The sequence below is a fragment of the Homo sapiens genome, chromosome 5 (genome assembly GCF_000001405.40).
Source record: "Homo sapiens chromosome 5, GRCh38.p14 Primary Assembly".
NCBI classification, from domain to species: domain Eukaryota; kingdom Metazoa; phylum Chordata; class Mammalia; order Primates; family Hominidae; genus Homo; species Homo sapiens.
The window spans coordinates 43065187-43087078 of NC_000005.10; the positions used below are offsets into that span (position 1 = coordinate 43065187).

Genomic DNA, 21892 nt, shown 5'->3' on the forward strand with positions numbered 1-21892 from the left:
TCAGTAGAAGAAATACGCCACATTTATTCTACCGGGGAAGACAGTGGGTAAGAAAAAAATACCGTAACATTTAAATTAAAAAATAATTAAAAATTTAAAAGCAAATAGAAATTAAAACAAAATACACTGATAACCTCGCTGCCAGAACAAGATACACCAAAAAAAAATTTTTTTTTTTGAGTATACAAAACATACAAAGCATCCTACAAACAGAAAGAAATTGCAAACAGGGTCGAATGGTGAGATCCTACCATTATATTTGTCAGCACTAAACCCGTGCCTCTTGCGCCTATCCGAAGTTTCCTCGGATTAAGAAGAAACAGCCATGGTTAAACCGGTATTTGCGACACCAACAATTATCTGTAGCCGACGTACCCCAACTTCTACATGAGTGAAAAATCGCCAGCATAGCCAGGGCGAGACTATTGCGAATTCTAACTTGGTATGATTTAAAAATTCCAGACACTGCTAAATTTTTTTAAATTGCATTCTTCAGTACCTAGATTAATACAGGAGTTATAAACCGCACGCATGGCTATAATGGGGGCTCCTATTACGGAACAGGAATTTGCTACTACTAAAATTATGTAGGCATGGTTAAAGCCAGAATTGTTACAACCAGAAATCGCAAACTGGAATAACTCTCAACTTGCTACGGTAAGAAATAACTAAACTCTGACTTGGTCAGACTAAGAAATCAGGAGTTTGAGACCAGCCCAGGCAACATGGCGAAATCCTGTCTCTAGGAAGGATACAAAAAATTACCCGGGCGTGGTGGCGCGTGCCTGTGGTCCCAGCTACCCCGGAGGCTGGGGTGGGAGGATCGCTTCAGCCCGGGAGGCGGAGGTTGCAGTGAGCCGAGATCGCGGCACTGCACTCCAGCCTGGGCGACAGAGCCGGACCCCGTATCAAGAAAGAAAGAGAAAAGAAAAAGAACCAAAGAAAAAGAAAAGTCACCATCGCACGGTTAAGTCTGCCTTGCTACAGCTAAACAGTGACTTCCTAGGACCAAGAAATCGCAGCCAGGGCTAGACCGATGCCCTAAATCGGGACTTGCTTAGGCTGAGAAATCACATTTTGGCTAGTTATTTGGACAAGAGGTAGAAATAGCGGGCACCGCGAAATCGAAACTTGCTAGGACCAAGAAGCCAACGACGGGCGAAACCGCAGGGGCCTGCGATAGAGACGCCAGCGGCGCCGCCGGGGGACTGGGTTCAGGAGGCCGAGCAGGAACCCGTGCGTCGGCGCTCGCGGCGCTGTGAAGAGACGGCGTCCGCGCAGCTCCTCTGCCTCTGGCTCGGAGGAGCGGCGGGCTCCCCCGCCCAGCGCCGGCGTCGCCCGGGAACCCCAGACTCTGCGCAACTGGCTGCGATTCCAAATCCCTCAGATCGGCTACCAGAGCGCTGCCGCCACCGAGAAAATGGAGGCACCGAGGAACAAGATGTGCCGCGACCAAGAGAACTCGGCTTGGCGAAATGGCGGTGCTGGGACCCTAAGAGTGACGCCAGCCGGAGGAGTTCCCAAGGACAACATCCATTTTGGCGGAACCAACGGTGTTGTCACGCAGAAAATGTCGACCCTCGGAAAAGAGAGGTTCTGCGACCGAGAAATTCGGTGCAACAAGTGCTGTGACAGAAAACCCCCCGCTCGGCGCTGCTGGCGAAAGAGCCAACAAAACGCTGGGTGCTGCCACCGTGACACCGACTTTAGGACCCCGGCCTCGGATGGAGAAAGGAGGGTACGGAGCCACCACATAACTTCCTAATGTCTTCAAATAGCGAAAGTGCTAGCCGGAAACTGCCGGCTGGGTTTACCTATTGGTGCTCGTGTGGGACTAGCAGATTCGAGAAACCAGCGGGACTGGAACCTAGTACACTTCGGCAGTTGAGAAATGACTTACCAGGACAAATACTGCTTCTGGCTCGATGGTGCTGCCCATGAACATCCGCCGGCTCTGAGAAACGAGCTGCACTGTCAGTGAGAAACCGTGGGCACTGAGAAACGAGCGGACTGCAACTGATAACTGCCCACCCAGTGCCACTACGACAAAGTGCTGCTGGCACTACTCCCACCCTCCGTCCTCAAATCAGTCCCCTCCCGCCTAAGAAGACCTTTATTTTTCCTAGCGAAGTCATACTGAGGGCCCCATCAACCGATCCCTTGCGATGCGCATGGGAAAAGGAGGCAGTATAGGGACCGAGAATCGGGCGGATTGGGCTGGCCCTGGTAACAAAAGCCATCCGGGTCGCCAACCGTCTTCCACTGCAAGAAACAAACCTTCCAGTGGCTGGGCTCCGCCCTTCTCCTTGGTCAGAGCCCTCCAGGCTCCTAAGGGCGAAGCCGACACCTCATCCCTTTGGAACTTGAAGTTCTCAGTCCAAGACCTCCGTGGAGAGTGAAAGACTCAATGCCTCCTGACCGAGGCTTCAGGCCTGCCCCGGCAGCTAGGTACCTCTCCAGGGGATGGAACTCTGTGGGAACTGCTATTTAATTCTGATGGTTAACTCTGTCAGATGGCCTTGATATATGGGAATAATCGTTGCAGGAGGGTAGGGGAAATAAGAATCGCAAGACTCTAGCACAGGACGTGTGGATTGATGGTGAGGCCTTTGCTCCCTCTCCCCTTGAAATCCTCAAAGGGCAGTTCCCGATTTCTATCACCTTTGAAATTCATCCCTGATGTCTTCTCCATCTTTGGGAAGTGCAATGCAATTTCAAGCTCTTGAATCTTCCCTCTCCCACATTTGTCAAATATACTGACGCTACAAACTCCTTTCTTACAGGAAACCTGAAACTGCCATTGAGCAGAAGGAAAACATCCCTTTCCAGAACCTTTCTCGTTTTTCTAAAAATCTGCACTTTTGGAAGTGATCCCCCAAAGAGACCTCCAGACTCTACCATGAGTGTCTCCAGCTGAACTCATCGTGTCTAATCCTCACCCTAGCTTATCCTGTTCAAATCATTTCCATCTTTTTCTGGATGAACCTGGGCGGATGTCAGACCAGAGAAGAGCACAGAATGTACCAGAGAGGTAAGAAGACCCATTTTGGGCTCTCACTTCTCACCCACTCCCAAGATGGTCACCTCCAGTCTTCCCCCCTATACCTTACCCTTTCTTCAGCTAGCCAAAACCTGCCCTGGTACTTGAGGCTTCTTCAGTTGCCTTCTTTTGCAGGCAGTAGAATAAAGGAAAGAGGGCAGTGTCAATAGAAGAAAAGTTACAGCCACTTTATCTAATTGAAGATACTGTGCAGAGCCTTTGAAAAAACAAAATATCTCACCCACCATTCCTCTCTCCGTTTCCACCCTAGCTTCCTATTTTAGCAAAAATGGTGGGATCAGCACCTCTGGAGGGAAGGGGTCACTCTTCCAGGTTAGGAATGTGGACAGGAGTTATGGAGCTTACTTCCCTAAAGGAGGAGGCATTCTAGTTCCGGCATTCAGATTCTGTCTGATTCCAATATGGTGTTTGTGTGGGGTGGTCAGAGAAAGGGCAAGTCGGCAACTGTATATTCCTCAGCAAGAGACTATAAGACATTTGCATTTGGAAAATCAGGAGAGATGCTGATATGGTTTGGCTCCGTGTCCCCACCCAAATCTCACCTTGAATTGTAATAATCCCCATGTGTCAAGGGTGAGACCAGGTGGAGATAATTGAATCATGGGGTTGGTTTTCCCCATGCTGTTCTCGTGTTAGTGAGTGGGTCTCACGAGATCTGATAGTTTTATAATTGCCTGGCATTTTCCCCTGCTGGCACACATTCTCCTGCGGCCCTCTGAAGAGGTGCCTTCCATCACGATTGTAAGTTTCCTGAGGCCTCCCCAGCCATGCAGAGCTTTGAGTCAATTAAAACTTCTTTCTTTATAAATTACCCAGTCTTGGATATTTCTTCATAGCAGTGTGGGAACAGACTAATACAGATGTGGTAGAGTTGGGTGCTGGGTGGCAATGCTAAGTGTATGCAGGTTCTAGGCACCAGATCAAATCTGGAATGCAAACTGTGGGACACAAACCACAAATGATGCCCAGCCTTTAATACTTTCTTTCATTGTTTGTCATATAGAAGAAGAAACAAAGAATAAAGAAAAGCATTTTTTTTGAGACGGAGTCTCGCTCTGTTCCCCAGGCTGGAGTGTAGTGGTACGATCTCGGCTCACTGCAACATCCACCTCCCAGGTTCAAGTTATTCTCCTGCCTCAGCTCCCAAGCAGCCAGGATTACAGGTGCATACCATCACACCTGGCTAATTTTTGTATTTTTAGTAAAGACAGGGTTTCACCCTGTTGGCCAGGCTGGTCTCAAAGTCCTGACCTCAAGTGATCCACCTGCTTCGGCCTCTCAAAGTGCTGGAATTACAGGCATGAGTCACAGTGCCCAGCCGCAAAGTATATTTTTGTAAAATTTCATCAAGATAAATCTGGCTAAACCAATAAACTAATAATAACAAAACTTGGGTTATTGTTGACTAAAGGAAGGTGGCACAAAATGGAAACATTTTTAAACATTCAAAAAAAAAAAAAGACTGGTCAGGCGCAGTGGCTTACACCTGTAATCCCAGCACTTTGGGAGGCCAAGGTGGGCGGATCATGAGGTCAGGAGATTGAGACCATCCTGGCTAACACGGTGAAACCCCATCTCTACTAAAAATACAAATCCTGGCTAACACGGTGAAACCCCGTCTCTACTAAAAATACAAAAAATTAGCCAGGCGTGGTGGCGGGTGCCTATAGTCCCAGCTACTCGGGAGTCTGAGGCAGGAGAATGGCGTGAACCCAGGAGGCAGAGCTTGTTTGCAGTGAGCCAAGATCGCGCCATTGCACTCCAGCCTGAGCGATAGAGCAAGACCCTGTCTCAAAAAAAAAAAAAAAAAACAAGGATAGTCTTTACACAGAAGTGGTATGCACAGGTGAATTGTCTGGGAAGTCAGGATGTTGCACAGAAGCTATGCAAGTCATAGATTAGAAAAGCAAGAATCCACATTCATGCTTTCCAGCATAGATGAGGAGATACTTTTTCTCCACCTTCTTAGATTCAGTGGCTGGGCAGAGAGTGCTGTGAATTCATCTGACAACAGGCAGATTAACACGAGAAAAGGAATATAAGTTTTTTATTTTTTATTTTTTTATTTTTTTGTTTTGAGACAGAGTGTCACTCTGTCTCCCAGGCTGGAGTGCAGTGGCTCACTGCAAGCTCCCACCTCCCGGGTTCACACCATTCTCCTGCCTCAGCCTCCCAAGTAGCTCAGACTACAGGCGCCCGCCACCATGTCCAGCTAATTTTTTTTATTTTTTAGCAGAGACAGGGTTTCACCTCCCAAAGTGCTGGGATTACAGGCATTAGCCACCGCGCCCAGCCAAGTTTTTTAATGTTTAATCTAATGTGCATGGAGGCATCATAGAAAGAACTGAATATCCAAAAGTGTGGTGAAATTTGAGACTTTAGATACCATCTTAATGATAGTGGCAGGAGGCAGACAAATCCTAGGGAGACAAGGGTGGGTCCCTGGTGAAACCCCACCTTCAAACCAAAGACAGTTTAAAGCATGAAAGCCAAGCTACAAGTCTCCAGTAAATCCATGGACCGGATTAAGAATCTCTCTTCCCCTTTAGCACACTTCCCTCTGATTGATCCACACACTTCACTTAGTGCACTTTCCTCTGATTGATCCCCACACTTCACCTATTTTACATATACCTGCCCTTCCCTAATTGTTTTTTTACACAGTTGTGCCCACCTTTGAGTGGTGCTTTTGTTTTAGCCTTTTTTGCATATGCACAAACCAATCAGCATGCACTCCCCCATTCTGAGCCTATAAAAGCCCCAGACCCTGCCACATTGGGAGAGAGACCACCCAACTTCTGGTGGGAAACCATCCTCGAATCCCCTCTCCACTGAGAACTGTTTTGTGGCTCAATAAAACTCCTCTCTGCCCTCCTCACTTTTTGATTTTCAGCATAACCTCATTCTTCTTGGATGCAGGACAACAACTCGGGATCCACCTAACACGGGTACAAAGAAGGCTGTAACACGGGAAGCAGCTGTTGGGCCAAACCAGCCCTGGAGCTGTAGGCCAGAGCAAGACCACAGGACTGACAGAGCTGTTAACACGCTGACATCTTTCGGGCTGCAGAGGGCGGGACTGAAAGAGCTATTAGCATGTTGTAACACCCACTCTGGGGCTTTGGGGTCACGGGCATCCCTGTTTGGGTGCCATCACATTCCCCTCATCTGGATGCCAGAGTCCACCATAGGAGTCACTTGCAACATGCCTGGTCCAGCCACAAGTCCCACACAGAGCCTGCTCCTGTGCTGGTGCTTGGAGCTACCAGTGGAACCCCACACTCACTAGCTCACACACCCCTCCTGCCAGGGGCTGAGTGCACAGTCATGGTGGCCACAGGATCTGCACCAGAGGACATGCCAGGCACAGCCCAGCAAACCGAGTAGATGGGGCATCTCCTGTGGTTAGCCTGGGCTCCAGCAAGGCCTAGGTAGGGCATCGCCAGCCAGAGGTCTCTGGCTGGCAAAGTTGCTGAGAAACATCCTATGTCATTAAGGAGATGGGGAGGGGCAGAGGGGCACTTATGGAAATATGAATGATTTTTTTTTTTGAGACAGAGTCTCTCTCTGTCGCCCAGGCTGGAATGCAGTGGCGTGATCTTGGCTCACTGCAAGCTCTGCCTCCGGGGTTCATGCCATTCTCCTGCCTCAGCCTCCCGAGTAGCTGGGACTACAGGTGCCCGCAACCACACCCAGCTAATTTTTTGTATTTTCAATAGAGACAGGGTTTCACTGTGTTAGCCAGGATGGTCTCGATCTCCTGAACTCGTGATCCATCCTCCTCAGCCTCCCAAGGTGCTGGCATTACTGGCATGAGCCACTGCACCAGCCACAAATGATATTTTAGAAGATAAATGGTCCTTTAGAAGAATAGATAAAAGATATGACAGTTTTTAGAGAATGTCTTTTTTTGGGTAGGGTGGGTGTAATCACCCAATGGTTTCATCTTGCCCATTGTCCACAAAGGCCAATGCACTGAGAACAGCAGCTTTTTTGCAGCAAAGAAAGACTTCAATAATTGCAGGGCTGGCCAAGTGGAAGGACAGGAATTCATTCCCAAATCCACCTCCCTGAGAATTCTTTTTTTTTTTTTTTTTTTTTTTTTTTGAGACGGAGTTTCACTCGTACTGCTGCCCAGGCTATATAGTGCAATGGCACCATCTTGGCTCACCACAACCTCCGCCTCCCAGGTTCAAGCGATTCTCCTGCCTCAGCCTCCCGAGTAGCTTGGATTACAGGCATGCACCGCCACGCCCAGCTAATTTTGTATTTTTAGTAAAGATGGAGTTTCTCCATGTTGGTCGGGCTGGTCTCAAACTCCCGACCTCAGGTGATCCTCCCGCCTCGGCCTCCCAAAGTGCTGGGATTACAGGCATGAGCCATGGCACCCGGCCAGGCTGAGAATTCTTAAGACAGGATTTTTTAAGGATAGTTTGGTAAGCATGGGGCTAGGGGATGGGTTGATGTGTTGGGTACTATGGGGAACGTGGAAGTGGAGAATAGTGTGGACTTTTGAAAGGATGTCTGCCTAGGAGTGGAGTTGGGCATGAGGGCAGGACTAAAAAAGAGTGAGTGAAGGAAAAGGTATGCAGGGAGCAGAAGAGTGGAGGGGTGGCTCGGGGTTTGGAGACTTGCCCGTCAATTCCCACAACAGAGACTTGGGAGGACTGGGTGGGTCCTGAAAAATTAGGTAAAGCAGAGTAGGTTGCCCGGTATTAAATAAGAAAAAATACTGGCCTACCTGCCACCATCAGGGTTACCCTTGTCTTAGATGAAGCAATGGTAGTTGCCGGGGCGTCCATTCCAGGGCCCCATCAGTCTTCAGTGGCAAGGCCAGTGAGATCCGAGTAGGAGGTTTTGGCCAGCTCAGGAAGGGATGGGAGTGGTCCTTGTGGGGGCCGCTCACAGTCCAACTTCCAGTGGGGTCCTCTGCAGAGGGGGCATGGCCTGATGGGCTTACCTGGGTTTGGGCATTGTCTAGACCAGTGGCCTTCATTGCCATACTTGAAACATGCGCCAGGTGGAGGTGGATTGCTAGGAGGCTTCTGTGTGGAGCTGCGGCCCTGTGGGCCTGCAGGGCCCCGGATGGCGGAGTCAAGCATTTGAAACTCTGCATGTTTTTGCCTTTTATTTTCCTCATCACGATTGTTAAAGACTTTGAAGGCTAAATTAAGAAGGTCTCGTTGTGGGTTTTGAGAGCCATCATCAAGCTTCTGTAGCTTACGCCGAATATCGGGGTGGATTGGGACATGAACTAAAGGTTTAAAATAGTGGTTCCTTCTGGGCTGGTTGGGTCTAGGTTGGTATATTTTCTCATGACTTCAGTTAAACAAGAGAGAAAAAGGGCTGTTTTTTCGTCAGGATCTTGGGGGATTTCTGAAAGTTTTTCATAGTTTATCGCTTTATGGGCACCCTTTTTGAGTCCTGCAAGGAGACACAATTGTGGTCTCAATGGTAGCGTCCAGAGGCCCTGTCTTGATAATCCCAGTGGGGGTCCTGGTTGGGGACTGCCTGTGCGCCAGTAGGCTGGGCAGGAGCTTGGTGATAAATTGATCAGCATGCCCCTGAGCTAGGGTCCAGATATGGTCCCGGTCTTCTGGGGTGAGGGTGGAAGAGAGGATAACGTAGAGGATATGCCAGATTAGTTCATAAGACTGGGTAAGGTACTGAAACTCCCTAATATAAGAGGTCAGGTCTTCTGGAAATGAACCCAGTCTTTTGTTAATTTGAGAGAAATCAGTGAGGGAGAAGGGAACATGAACTCTAACAATACCTTCAGTTCCTGCTACTTCCTGAAGAGGGCACTCTAGCACAGGCACTAAAGTAAGGGTGGGGCATGGCCAAACATGGCACCTGAACAAGTGTGGATGGGAGAGAAGGAAGAACCTGGAAGTGGTTCCTGCTGAGTGTTTGAAGGGGAAAGGGGGATTGAGTTAACAGGTAGTGGAGGATAGATAGGGGCGTAAGGTGGTGGGATGGGTTTACAAGCCTCAGGAGAAGGCAGTAGGGGAGGAGAATGGGTACAGGCAATACTAGAATTGTCCTGAGGAGGGGGCGGTGTAGGAAAAGAAGCAGATACTGCTGACTGGGAAGATGGTGGCTGGGAAGATGGCGGTTGAGAAGACAACGAGGAGGCTTGGGCTAAAGAAGACGATTGAGAGGAAGAGGTAGGGGTTGGGAGGGGTGGACAGCAGTCTGCTGGATCTAACGAGGAAAAAGAGGTAGGGTTGGGAGGAGAAAGACAATCAGGGTGGCAAGAATGGAGGAGAAGGATTTGAACAGGTGAGCAAGAATTGCAGAGGTCGGGTTGTGATCTGAGTGCAAAAAGGCCTGGACATAAGGAATTTCTCCCCATTTCTCTAGTCGTTGTCAATAATTGCTTAACTCAGTTAAAACTGTAAAGTCGAATGTTCCATTTGCGGGCCATTTGGACCCATTATCCAATTCGTATTGTGGCCAGACTGAATTGCAAAAAAAGACAAGGCGCTTAGGGTGGATATTTTGCCTGAGGCCTAAGGTTTGCAGGTTTTTTATGGGGCAGCCTAGAGGGCTGTTTTTTGGAAGGGAGGACCGGGAGTTTCCCATAACAGAGGGTAGGCTCAGGAGAACAGGGAAAAAGGAGACCGTCCTGGACGGCCAGAGGGAGACAAAAGGAGCAATCATCATCACCGCTGCCTTTTTCATTCCTGGAACGGGATCAAATGGATTAGAGGCGTCTCCCTAAGACCAGGTGATGGGATGATCAGCGAGTACCTGGCACACGCCGGAGCCTTGCTGGACCGACATTGGATTTTTGGACCGTAGACACCAAGAGAGGCCATGTGGCTTTTCCCTTGTTAACTGGGCTCCTAGGGAAACTTACCAATAGGCAAGGCCAGTGACCAATGTGCATGCACAGAGAGGCAACTGGAGGCTGAGGAGCTTCCTTTGTCCTGCTGCTGTGGCCTGTTCTCCAGGGTGGAGGGGTAGGTCCATGGGGGATGTGGACCAGAGCCCCTCCCCGGTTTCGGCACTAGATGTAAGGTTCTTGTGTTGGTTCAAACCCTGAGAGCACGCCAAAAGACAACACGAAGTGGTGTGGAGCAGCAACATGCTGTTTTAATGAGCACGTGAGTGCAGGTGGGCTGAGGCCTAAAATGGCATCAGCCCCAAGTGAGGACGGTACAGGGGGTTTATAGTCCTCTGTAAACAGGAAGTGTCCCAGTCTAACATGACTGCTATGTAGTACGCGACGGCCTCTTTCTCGATCTTCAGGGGTACGTGTCTTCTGGCCAGGGAATGTGTCTTCCGGCTGGCTCTCTTCCTGCTTCTGCTATCTTGCTGACACACGCTGCTGGTGCAAGTGGCGTTGTGCCTTGGGACTGGGCCTGAGAAGGGGGGAGTTACTCATCCCTTCAAGCTTTGGGTCCCCGGGGAGAATCTTTCAAGTATGAACCTGGCCTTGTGAAAGCAGAGCTCCAGTTACACAGTGTATCCCGAATCCATGAATGTTATGATGGTGCTAATTTGAACCACTAAGAGGCCTTGTGAGAGTCTCTTCTTTCCCAGAAAATGTGGGGAACACAGAGAGTGTCTTTCTGGATAGACATACCCAAGAAACTTCTGCTGAGGAAAGTGAAAGCAAAGATACAACTTATCCCAGAAAGGGGAGTGCATATGTAGATGGTGATAAGTAATATAGCCTGAAATATTCACATGGATATAATTAGAGTTAGGGTTATAGTTAAGGAGGAAGGGAAGGGAGACAGAAAGAAAGCAAGTAAGAAAGGAAGCAAGAAAAGATAAAACTGTGTCCAAGTTTCTTACTTGTATTAAACAGAGTGTTTTTCTAGATATTGTTAACCAAGATAAGGAATCCCTAAAGAGAGGCAGGCTTGATTTAGAGCTGTCTGAGGGCTTCCAAAAGAGCTGTTCAGTGAATAAGAAGGAATCCAACCATGGAGCATCAGAGTCTAAGTTGGATGTATAGGTTTGTGTGTCTTCAGTATTGTCTTGTATTTTAAGACAGAATTAGATGTGCCCATCAGAAATGAGTGTATGGCATGAAAAAGTTGCAGATGGTAGGCCGCAGTGAACTCCAATTGTTTGGAAGGCTTAACTTGAACCTTCCTAGGCTAGAGAATTTTAAATGACTGAGATGTTTCTAATGTGCCTAGAGCTTCTTTTCTAATGAGCCCAGGGAGGGCTAGAATCTCTATCAGAGTTAGTCTGGGATGTAAAGGGGATCAGGATGTGCCACCCCAATATATGCCACTTTAGCCTATGGATTATTTTGAGCAGTTAAAAAATTAGAAATAGCAGGCCTGGTGCAGTGGCTCATGCCTGTAATCTTAGCACTTTGGGAGACCGAGGCAGGTGGATCACCTGAAGTCAAGAGTTCGAGACCAGCCTGGCCAACATGGTGAAACCCCATCTCTACTAAAAAAAAAAAAAAAAAAAAAATACAAAAATTAGCCAGGCGTGGTGTGGCACGCCTGTAATACCAGCTACTCAGGAGGCTGAGGAAGGAGAATTGCTTGAAGCCAGGAGGTAGAGGTTGCAATGAGCCAAGATCGTACCACTGCACTCCAGCCTGCGTGATGGGAGCGAGACTCCATCTCAAAAAAAAAAGAGAAAAAAAGAAATTAGAAATAGCAGACATATGAGGATCTCTGACCTCCCTTTCCTGCTGAAAAGCAGGGCATACATTTTGCTTTTGTAAAAAAATTTGCATTTATAAAAGCTTCCACCTCTCCCCTACCTGGAAGAGAAGGAAACTCTTCTACTCTAATACTTGAAGGGGGCCTGCCTCTCCACACCTGTGGGTATTTCTTGCAAGGTGGAGACGAGACACTGAGAAAAGAAATAAGACACAGAGACAGTATAGAGGAAGAAAAGTGGGCCAAGGGGACTGGTGCTCAGCAAGTGAGGACCTGCACCAGCATTGGTCTCTGAGTTCCCTCAGTATTTATTGATCACTATCTCTACTATCTTGGCGAGGGGGATGTGGCAGGACTATAGGGTAATGGTGGCCAGAGGGTCAGCAGGAAAACATGTGAGCAAAGGACTCTGTGTCATAAATAAGTTTAAGGAAAGGTGCTGTGCCTGGATGTGCACATAGGCCAGATTTATGTTTGACTTTACACAGACATCTCAGTGCAGTAAAGAGCAGTATTGCCGCCAGCAGGTCTCACTTCCAGCCATAAGGCAGTTTTCTCCTATCTCAGTAAATAGAATATATGATCAGGTTTTACACTGAGACATTCCATTCCCAGGGACAAGCAGGAGACAGATGCCTTCCTCTTGTCTCAGCTGCAAAGAGGCCTTCCTCTTTCACTAATCCTCCTCAGCACGGACCCTTTATGGGTGTCGGGCTGGGGGATGGAGGTCTTTCCTTTCCTACAAGGCCATATCTCAGGCTATCTCAGTGGCGGGAAACCTTAGACAATACCCAGGCTTTCTTGGGCAGAGGTCCCTGTGGCCTTCCACAGTGCATTGTGTCCCTGGGTACTTGAGATTGGAGAATGGTGATGACTTTTACCAAGCATACTGCCTGCAAACATTTTTACCAAGGCACATCCTGCACAGCCCTAAATCCATTAAATCTTGAGTCAATATAGCACATGTTTCTGCGAGCACAGGGTTGGGGCTAGGGTTACAGATTAACAGCATCTCAAGGCAGAAGAATTTTTCTTAGTACAGATCAAAATGGAGTTTCTTATGTCTTCCTTTTTCTACATAGACACAGTAACAGTCTGATCTCTCTTTCTTTCCCCCACAATGCTTGTTTGAGGACATGTATTATCACCAGAGAGGACTTGAAACTGCATAACAAACCGTACTTGCCAGACATTTCCTAATCACCTTCTCACTGTTTACTCCCTCCCCCTATAATCGATAATCGCAAAGCTTCCTTTCCCTTTGACTATTCTATTCTCTTCACAATTTATCACCCCTTGTTAAATGGTATATAAGCCCCCAGCCCTAAACTCCTACTTGGGTTTTCACTTCTCTTTTGTGAAGCCTCATTATGTATGCAAAATAAAATTTTTCTACTGTTAATCTGTCGTTTATCAGTTTAAGTGACAGGCTGGGGCTGGGCGCCGTGGCTCACGCCTGTAATCCCAGCACTTTCGGGAGGCCGAGGTGGCCGGATCACGAGGTCAGGAGATCGAGACCATCCTGGCTAACACAGTGAAACCCCGTCTCTACTAAAAAATACAAAAAATTAGACGGGCGTGGGCCGGTCGCGGTGGCTCCCGGCTGTAATCCTAGCACTTTGGGAGGCCGAGGCGGGCGGATCACGAGGTCAGGAGATGGAGACCATCCTGGCTAACACGGTGAAACCCCGTCTCTACTAAAAATACAGAAAATTAGCCGGACGAGGTGGCGGGCCCTGTAGTCCCAGCTACTCGGGAGGCTGAGGCAAGAGAATGGCGTGAACCCCAGGGGGCGGAGCCTGCAGTGAGCCGAGATTGCGCCCCACTGCACTCCAGCCTGGGCAACAGCGAGACTACGTCTCAAAAAAAAAAAAAAAAAAAATTAGCCGGGTGTGGTGGCGGGCGCCTGTAGTCTCAGCTACTCGGCAGGCTGAGGCAGGAGAATGGCGTGAACCCCGGAGGCAGAGCTTGCAGTGAGCCAAGATTGTGCCACTGCACTCCAGCCTGGGCGACAGAGCAAGGCTCTGTCTCAAAAAAAAAAAAAAAAGTGACAGGCTCTACACACTGAATTTAAGAAGGTAGAGGTCGGGTTTTTTCATCATCTACAAAGGTACTCTGCTTCTAAAATGAGTTAGAACAATGGATTTGACCACAATCAGATGGACATTAAGGGTAAGAAAGAAAAGTGGCTCAAAGCAGCCTGAGGAATGTAAAGTATGCAAAATTTATCAGGCTCAGAGAGACTTGAGCAAGAGCCTTCAGTCATATCCCTCTCAGCCATACCCAGGAATAACTGTTTCAAGGCATTTTGACAGGGGCGGCGACTCAGCTCTTGCCTGTAATCCCAGCTACTCAGCAGGCTGAGATGGGAGGATCACATAAGCCCAGGAGTTTGAGACTGCAGCAGGCTATAATCAGGCTACTGCATTTCACCCTGGGCAACGGAGAGAAAACCCATCTCTAAAAAAGTTAAGATAAATAAAAAATAAATAAGCAAAAAATAAATTTGGAGCCGGGCGCGGTATCTCATGCCTGTAATCCCAGCACTTTGGGAGGCCGAGGTGGGTGGATCACCTGAGGTCAGGAGTTTGAGACCGGCCTAGCCAACATGGTGAAACACCATCTCTACTAAAAATACAAAAAATTAGCCAGGTGTGGTGGTGGGCGCCTGTAATCCTAGCTACTCGGGAGGCCGAGGCAGGAGAATCGCTTGAACCCAGGAGGTAGAGGTTGCAGTGAGCCAAGATCGCACCATTGCACTCCAGCCTGGGCAACAAGAGCGAAATTCCATCTCTAAATAAATAAATAAATTTTGGTGGTTTTTTTTTTCTTTCCTGTTGTTTCCAGACTAATAACCTAAAATGTTACCACAAGTTGGGCAATGTGAGTCTCACTCATTACCTTCTTTTTCCTGAAATTAGTGACATAAAGAAAAATGTATAGCCAACAATAGCTTATGTTATTTTAATAAACCAATGTAAAATTTTGTTTGTTTGTTTTGTTTTTGAGACAGAGTCTTGCTCTGTCACCCAGGCTGAAGTGCACCCAGGCTGAAGTTGGAGGCTATGGTGAGCTGCACCACTACACCACTATGGGAGGCCGAGGCGAGTGGATTGCCTGAGCTCAGGAGTTCGAGACCAGCCTGGGCAACGTTGTGAAACCCCGTCTCTACTAAAACACAAAAAATTAGCCAGGCCTGGCGGCATGTGCCTATAGTCCCAGCTACTCAGGAGGCTGAGGCAGGAGAATTGCTTGAACCCGGGAGCTGGAGGTTGCAGTGAGCCGAGATTGCGCCACTGCACTCCAGCCTCGGTGACAGAGTGAGACTCCGTCTCAAAAAAAAACAATATAAGGTGAAGGCCAAGCAGGGTGGCACATACCTGTTGTCTCACCTACTCAAAAGGCTGAGGCCAGAGGAGGATTGCTGGAAGTGAGTTCAAAGCCAGCCTAGAGAATATATTGAGACTCTGTCTCTAAATTTTATATATATATGGTGAATTCACCTTTACCATATCTTTTATGTATAAGCAATGGGATTGATTAGCAAGTAATGGGACTCTGAAATCAAAGGGGTAAATTTGGGTAGATCTTTATAAATATAATAACCTTGAACCCCACAAATCTCTCTAAGCGTCCTTTAAAAAATAGACTTTCTGTCTGAGTAGGTGAGTCCTTTTTTTTGTTTGAAGATACTAGAAAGCTCTTACTTGAGACAGCTCCTAAAAGAATGTCAATTCAACAGAAGTCTCATAGCCAGTATAACTAATTCTAACCCCCTAACTAGAGTCAGATACTAGGATACCCCTAAGGGACAACAATGAAATCTGAATTTGGGTGTCATTGCTTACATATCAAAACAGTTGCAAGAGACAGTTAATTTATATTTGCAGAAACCATATGAATTTGTATGAAAATGATTTTTTAAAGTGCTATATCAAGAAAACTAGAACATAATGCAGAACAAATAAAATTTACTTATATGGGTGCCAAGAATAGAAATTCTGGGTTCCGCATACATCAGCATCTAGAAGAATCTGCAGTAGGTATGGATGGTTGATTGAGGCCTTTATTCAATGGTAGTCTACAAAGAATAAGACAGAAGTAAGAACTTTCCTGTTAAAATGGAAAGATAGAGTAAACAAGTTTAGGAATATCTCATAAGCCACTGATTCCATTCTTAGGTCTATATCCAAGGGAAATTCTTGCACATGCACACAAGGAAACATGGAAGAGAATGTCCATATATGTACTGTTCACAGTAACAAAAATTTGCTGAGGAGGAAGGAACTAAAACTCCAACAATAGGAGAGCGGATAGAAAGGAACATATTATATTCACAGAACGGAATATTTTACAAAAATCAGAATAAACTACAACATTACTCAAAATCATGGCTGCATTATAGCAACATAATATTCAGAGAAAAAGTTTAAAAGACTACATAGAACTGTCAATTGAGGAAAATGACAAGATAAGTCTCAATCATTTTAGGAGGTTTATTTGCCAAAGTTAAGGACATGCCTGGGAGACAGGTCTATGCCTTTCTCTGATGATGATTTTGAGGGCTCCAAATTTAAAGGGGAAAGGGCAGGATATTGAGAAGCGCACAGTTTTCACATAAACCAAAGGGGCAGAGGAAAAATATGGGGAATCTGCATTTTACATAAGATAACAGACAAAATGGGGTAGAGGGAACAATCAGATATGCATTTGTGTCTGGCGAGCAGGGTGACTGCACATGTAAAGATAAGCTATCAATTTGCATTGCCATGGTGAAGTTTTAACAGCTCACCAGGAATTTCCCTGTGGGCAAAATATGGGAGAGGCATGTAGCTTTTCATCTTGTAGCCATCTTATTTAGGAATCAAAAGCGGGAGGCAGGTTTGTGTGACCCAGTTCCCAGCTTAACTTTTCCCTTTGGCTAAATGAGTTTGGGGTCCCAAAGTTTAATTTCCCTTCACAGAACACAGTTTTATTTTATAAAATTAACAAAAACACACAATATGTAGATACATATTGATAAAAATAAAACTATGTAAAAAGGTAAACAACAGAATATTCAATTTAGTAATAAAATAACCAACTGTGGATGGTTATCTTGAATTGAAGGGTTGGAAATAAGGGATACAGGAAAATCACACACAATAAACTAAATTGGAAGATGGGCCTAATGCTAACACCAAAAATGGACCTCTTGACGGCAGAATTGCATTTATCTATCCAGCCTCAGGAAGAGTTACACAACCTCAAGTTTCCTCAAGTGAGGCTGTGTGTCTATGAAATGTGGGGCATGGAGAAGCAAGCATAGCACAGTTTTCCAGGAGGCGCTGGCTTAATAAAAGAGGGTGGAATGTGAGGGGCCAAACTTTTCATGTGTAGATCCCCTCTCAAACTCTACAACCAGATAATTCATTAGTTTAGTGGTGAGAACTAAAAGATGAGACATGAAACTAAAGTTATTCAGGTATAATTGTACCTTATAGAAACTGGACAAGGGGGATGCCACTTTTCCCACTTATACAATCATTCAGTGTATTGAACTACCCTGTGAAAAGATAAGTACAATTGCATTAATAGATTAAGTAAACTACAACAAGGTATGGGGTCACACACCTGTAGTCCCAGCTACTCAGGAGGCTGAGACAGGAGGATTGGTTGAGCTCAGGAGTTAAAGGCTGTAATGAGTTATAATCATGCCACTGCACTCCAGTATGCGTGACAGAGTAATACTTCATCTCTTGAAAAATAAAGAGAGAAAAGAGAGAAAGAAATTATAGCTTCAAACTCTATGCTATTTTGAAGACATAAAGTAAAATGATAAAAAGAGTTGAAAATAAAGGAGTGGACAAAGATACATCTGAATCTAATCAATTTTTTGAACTTTTATTTTAGGTTCAGGGGTACATTGGGTATATTTTAGGTTCAGGTGGGTGGAGGGATGTCCTTTAGTTCTGTCCTTTGTCCAGTACCCATGAAGATAAGCTGTTAATTTACATTGTTAGGGTGAAATTCAACAGAACTATTTTAGGGTACAGATATCAAGGTCCACAAGAAATTTCCTTGTGAGCAAACTGAAGATGGTATATAGCCTTTTGTCTTTGTAGCTCTCTATTTAGAGGAAAAAATAAGAGGCCATTTTATGTGACTTGGGTCCAAGCTTGACTTTTCCCTTCAACTTAGGGAATTTGGGGTCCTAGTATTTTTATTTGCCCTTCCTAGCTGTTATATGTAAGTTGCTCTGGTGATTTTTCCTGAAGTTTATATTGCCTAACTTCAGTTGGCAGGGCTTTAAGAAAAAGCACAATTTTAATCTTTAGTGAGTCTAACCAAGAAAAATGGAAACATCAGTTCAGAGACTTGTAGAGACAAAAATATTTAGTATTTGGTCTAAATTGTAGCCAAATAACAAAAACTCAAAAACAATGGGCAGGGCTAGAGTCTAATAACAGGTGTACTATAGTGTTTTTTCTGAAATGCAATTTTTCTTTCTTTTTTTTTTTTTTGAGATGGAGTCTTGCTCTGTTGCCCAGGCTGGAGTGCAGTGGCACTATCTCGGCTCACTGCAAGCTCTGCCTCCTGGGTTCACACCATTCTCCTGCCTCAGCCTCCTGAGTAGCTGGGACTACAGGCGCCCACCACCACACCTGGCTAATTTTTTGTATTTTTAGTAGAGACGGGGTTTCACCATGTTAGCCAGGATGGTCTCGATCTCCTGACCTCATGATCCACCCGCCTCGGCTTCCCAAAGTGCTGGGATTACAGACTCGAGCCACCGTGCCCGGCCCCCGCAATTTTTCTTTCTTTAGTCTCTCATTTATACCAAAGACAAATCATAGTAAGACTAATTTACTTGTAAAATGTTTTAGTCTTACTATATTTGGCCTGATTCTTTGCATAAAGTATAGCAAGAATAGTGATTAGTGATGTAGGCATTTTTTAAGTTGGTGTTGCTAGAACTTTTTTTTTTTTTTTTTTTTTGAGATGGAGTCTCTCTCCGTTGCCCAGGCCGGAGTGCAATGGCGCGATCTCTGCTCACTGCAACCTCTGCCTCCCAGGTGCAAGCAATTCTCCTGCCTCAGCCTCCCAAGTAGCTGGGATTACAGGCGCTCACCACCGCACCTGGCTAATTTTTATATTTTTAGTAGAGACGGGGTTTTGCCATGTTGGCCAGGTTGGTTTCGAATTCCTGCCCTCAGGTGATCCGCCCACCTCGGCCTCCCAAAGTGCTGGGATTACAGGCATGAGCCACTGTGCTTGGCCACTAGAACTTTTTCATAAGGAATCTCAGGTTACACTTTTAAAAGCTTCTTAAAGCTGAGAAGCCAAGCCAAAGATTTGCCATCAGACTGTGCTTATAAAACCAGTGTATAAAACTGTGTAAAATATGTGTGTATAAAACCAGTGAATTCCTCTCTTTTTGAGGTTCCCAAAATATCTGGAGAGTCCTGGGCCTGTCATAAGGTGATGTTATTTACTTACCACAAGATCATCAGGAACCTCGTAAGGGAGCCATGTAGATGAGGCACCAAGCCAGTCTTTCCAAGGGGCTTTTTATTTGCTCTGTGAAGACAACCTAAATTGCTCAAAGCAGTCTGGTCATATCCAAAAATATATCATTCCAGTTAAAGCCTTGGTAAAATAACCAGTATATCCAATTGTGAGCTGTTACAAAAGAAAGCAGATTCTTACTGTGTATGCAAATAACTATATTGCCATAAATTAAGAATACTCACGAATAGCTTCCAAATTTTGGAGAAATCAGGTAGAGAAAGGTAAATGTTTCCTTGTTTTTTTTTTTTGTTTTTTTTTTTGAGACAGAGTCTCGCTCTGTCAACAGGCTGTAGTGTAGTGGCGTGATCTCGGCTCACTGCAACCACCACCTCCCAGGTTCAAGTGATTCTCCTGCCTCAGACACCCGAGTAACTGGGACTACAGGCGCGTGCCACCACACCTAGCTAATTTTTGTATTTTTAGTAGAGATGGGGTTTCACCATGTTGGCCAGGATGTCTCAATCTCTCGACCTCGTGATCCGCCTGCCTCAGCCTCTCAAAGTGCTAGGATTATAGAAGTGAGCCACCACGCTCGGCAAATGTTTCAATTTTATTCACAAAAGTATACTTTACCCAATTGTTGTAAACTATAAATATTAATGTTTAAAATAAAATTTTTCTTGACTCAAAAACAAAACAGGAAAAGAATCAGCAATATTTTAAGCAAAAAAGTTACAAAAATTATTTTAGTCTTTTATCAGTTTAGTTCCATGTAATTCATTCCTGTTCTGCTTGAAGTTATCAACTTTCATGAACCTATTAACTTTGTTTACTAGAGTCTTGAAAAATTTCACATTGTTCAATGTTATGATCTCCAAAGTTATCAAAAACCTGTATTCAAGAGTACTTGTCAGGATCCTTATGAATTTTTTTGAAGAAGAATCAAATTTTGGACTATAGCTGATTATAAACTGTCTTTCAAGAAGAATGAAAATAAAACAATAAATGTCTATGGATGGCAAAAGACTTAGAATAGCCGTAATTAAAGACACAATTGACAGCCAGGTGTAGTGGCTCATGCCTGTAATCCCAGCAATTTGGGAGGCCAAGGTGGTCGGTTCACAAGGTCAGGAGATCAAGACAATCCTGGCTAACATGGTGAAACCCCATCCCTACTAAAAATACAAAAAAAAAAATTAGCTGGGCATGGTTACAGGCGCCTGTACTCCCAGCTACAGGTAGGAGGGAGGTAGGAGAATGGCATGAACCCAAGGAGGTGGAGCTTGCAGTGAACCGAAATGGCGCCACTGCACTCCAGCCTGGGTGACATAGTGAGACTCCGCCTCCAAAAAAAAAAAAAAAGACACAATTGACAAGAAAATTTGCTTATTTCTGTGGCATATAACAATTTAACACAATAATCATATGAATCATAACATAGGCCAAGACATATCATAATTTTAGGAATCTCATACAATTTTGGAGCACATATTAATAACACATTTCTGCAAATGTAACTCAAAGTTAAATGCCACTTCTATTTGACAGTGTTTTCCATATGATTTTTATATACCAAAATTAAAAGTTAGTTTCAGGTCAAAAAGACTTAATTTTAGAATATAAAATTTGATTTTGAGAAGTTTGTCAACTATTAAAGGCTTAAAACACTTGATAGGAAAATAAGAAAGGTTTCAAACCCTGGATCAAAATAGAATTACACATAAGTAATCCTTATCTTACACAAATAAGTTACTCATTTAGCCAAAGTGATAATTCAAAGATTTCAAAAAGCAAAAACCCTTACTCTTTGATAGAGAGGAGACTCAGTTCTCTAAACAGTCAAAAAGACAAAGACAGCATGAGGCAAACTCTCTTTTTTCTTTTGCAATGTATTTAAAAGGTGAACAAAAAATCTTGCATTTGTTATCTCTTTTTTTTTTTTTTTTTTTGTTGTGTTCTAGGAAAACTTTATTTATAAACACAGGCAGCCAATAGTTTGCCAACTCCTATTTTAGAACATGAGTGAGAATCATCAATAAAACTACAAATCTTTGCAACAGTCAGAATAAGAAAATAGTGAATTAAAGACTATTAGCATTTCAGCCATCTAGGACAGTGTTCTTCTCATTATCATACGTAAATATTTGTTTTGTTTTTTTTTTTTTTTAATTGATCATTCTTGGGTGTTTCTCGCAGAAGGGGATTTGGCAGGGTCATAGGACAATAGTGGAGGGAAGGTCAGCAGATAAACAAGTGAACAAAGGTCTCTGGTTTTCCTAGGCAGAGGACCCTGCTGCCTTCCGCAGTGTTTGTGTCCCTGGGTACTTAAGATTAGGGAGTGGTGATGACTCTTAACGAGCATGCTGCCTTCAAGCATCTGTTTAACAAAGCACATCTTGCACCGCCCTTAATCCATTTAACCCTGAGTGGACACAGCACATGTTTCAGAGAGCACAGGGTTGGGGATAAGGTCACAGATCAACAGGATCCCAAGGCAGAAGAATTTTTCTTAGTACAGAACAAAATGAAAAGTCTCCCATGTCTACTTCTATCCACACAGACCCGGCAACCATCCGATTTCTCAATTTTTTCCCCACCCTTCCCGCCTTTCTATTCCACAAAACCGCCATTGTCATCATGGCCCATCCCCAGTGAGCCGCTGGGCACACCTCCCAGACGGGGTCGTGGCCGGGCAGAGGGG

General features: G+C 45.2%; 3 long non-coding RNA genes across 3 annotated transcripts in view, besides 5 other annotated features; 1 reads left to right on the top strand and 2 right to left on the bottom strand.

Moving 5' to 3' along the window:
* On the bottom strand, positions 1 to 1785 carry LOC100132356 (uncharacterized). The gene has a single exon (NR_034127.1). It is a non-coding gene; the product is annotated as an uncharacterized LOC100132356 (long non-coding RNA).
* Positions 1 to 2253, bottom strand: part of ANXA2R-OT1 (ANXA2R overlapping transcript 1) — a 52711-nt gene extending 50458 nt beyond the window's left edge. Inside the window, exons 1-2 of the long non-coding RNA NR_104651.1 lie at positions 2112 to 2253; positions 1901 to 1971 (exon numbers count right to left, since the gene is read on the bottom strand). This is a non-coding gene — a long non-coding RNA (ANXA2R overlapping transcript 1). The remainder of the gene's footprint in view (positions 1 to 1900; positions 1972 to 2111) is intronic.
* Positions 1465 to 1864: an enhancer, noted in NCBI's record as "active region_22532". NCBI's record gives its function as "activates an Ori minimal core promoter by ATAC-STARR-seq in GM12878 lymphoblastoid cells {active_cell/tissue: GM12878}" and the evidence as "EXISTENCE:reporter gene assay evidence [ECO:0000049][PMID:35858748]".
* Positions 1837 to 21892, top strand: part of LOC100506639 (uncharacterized) — a 26536-nt gene continuing 6480 nt past the window's right edge. Inside the window, exons 1-2 of the long non-coding RNA NR_102752.1 lie at positions 1837 to 2600; positions 2784 to 3031. This is a non-coding gene — a long non-coding RNA (uncharacterized LOC100506639). The remainder of the gene's footprint in view (positions 2601 to 2783; positions 3032 to 21892) is intronic.
* Positions 8627 to 9128: an enhancer, noted in NCBI's record as "H3K27ac hESC enhancer chr5:43073915-43074416 (GRCh37/hg19 assembly coordinates)". NCBI's record gives its function as "activates a minimal SCP1, AML or CMV promoter by ChIP-STARR-seq in primed H9 embryonic stem cells {active_cell/tissue: H9 hESC(primed)}" and the evidence as "EXISTENCE:reporter gene assay evidence [ECO:0000049][PMID:30033119]".
* Positions 8701 to 8995: an enhancer, noted in NCBI's record as "tiled region #15399; HepG2 Activating non-DNase unmatched - State 12:CtcfO". NCBI's record gives its function as "activates a minimal TATA promoter and a strong SV40 promoter by Sharpr-MPRA in HepG2 cells {active_cell/tissue: HepG2}" and the evidence as "EXISTENCE:reporter gene assay evidence [ECO:0000049][PMID:27701403]".
* Positions 9129 to 9628: an enhancer, noted in NCBI's record as "H3K27ac hESC enhancer chr5:43074417-43074916 (GRCh37/hg19 assembly coordinates)". NCBI's record gives its function as "activates a minimal SCP1, AML or CMV promoter by ChIP-STARR-seq in primed H9 embryonic stem cells {active_cell/tissue: H9 hESC(primed)}" and the evidence as "EXISTENCE:reporter gene assay evidence [ECO:0000049][PMID:30033119]".
* Positions 12922 to 13475: an enhancer, noted in NCBI's record as "H3K4me1 hESC enhancer chr5:43078210-43078763 (GRCh37/hg19 assembly coordinates)". NCBI's record gives its function as "activates a minimal SCP1, AML or CMV promoter by ChIP-STARR-seq in naive H9 embryonic stem cells {active_cell/tissue: H9 hESC(naive)}" and the evidence as "EXISTENCE:reporter gene assay evidence [ECO:0000049][PMID:30033119]".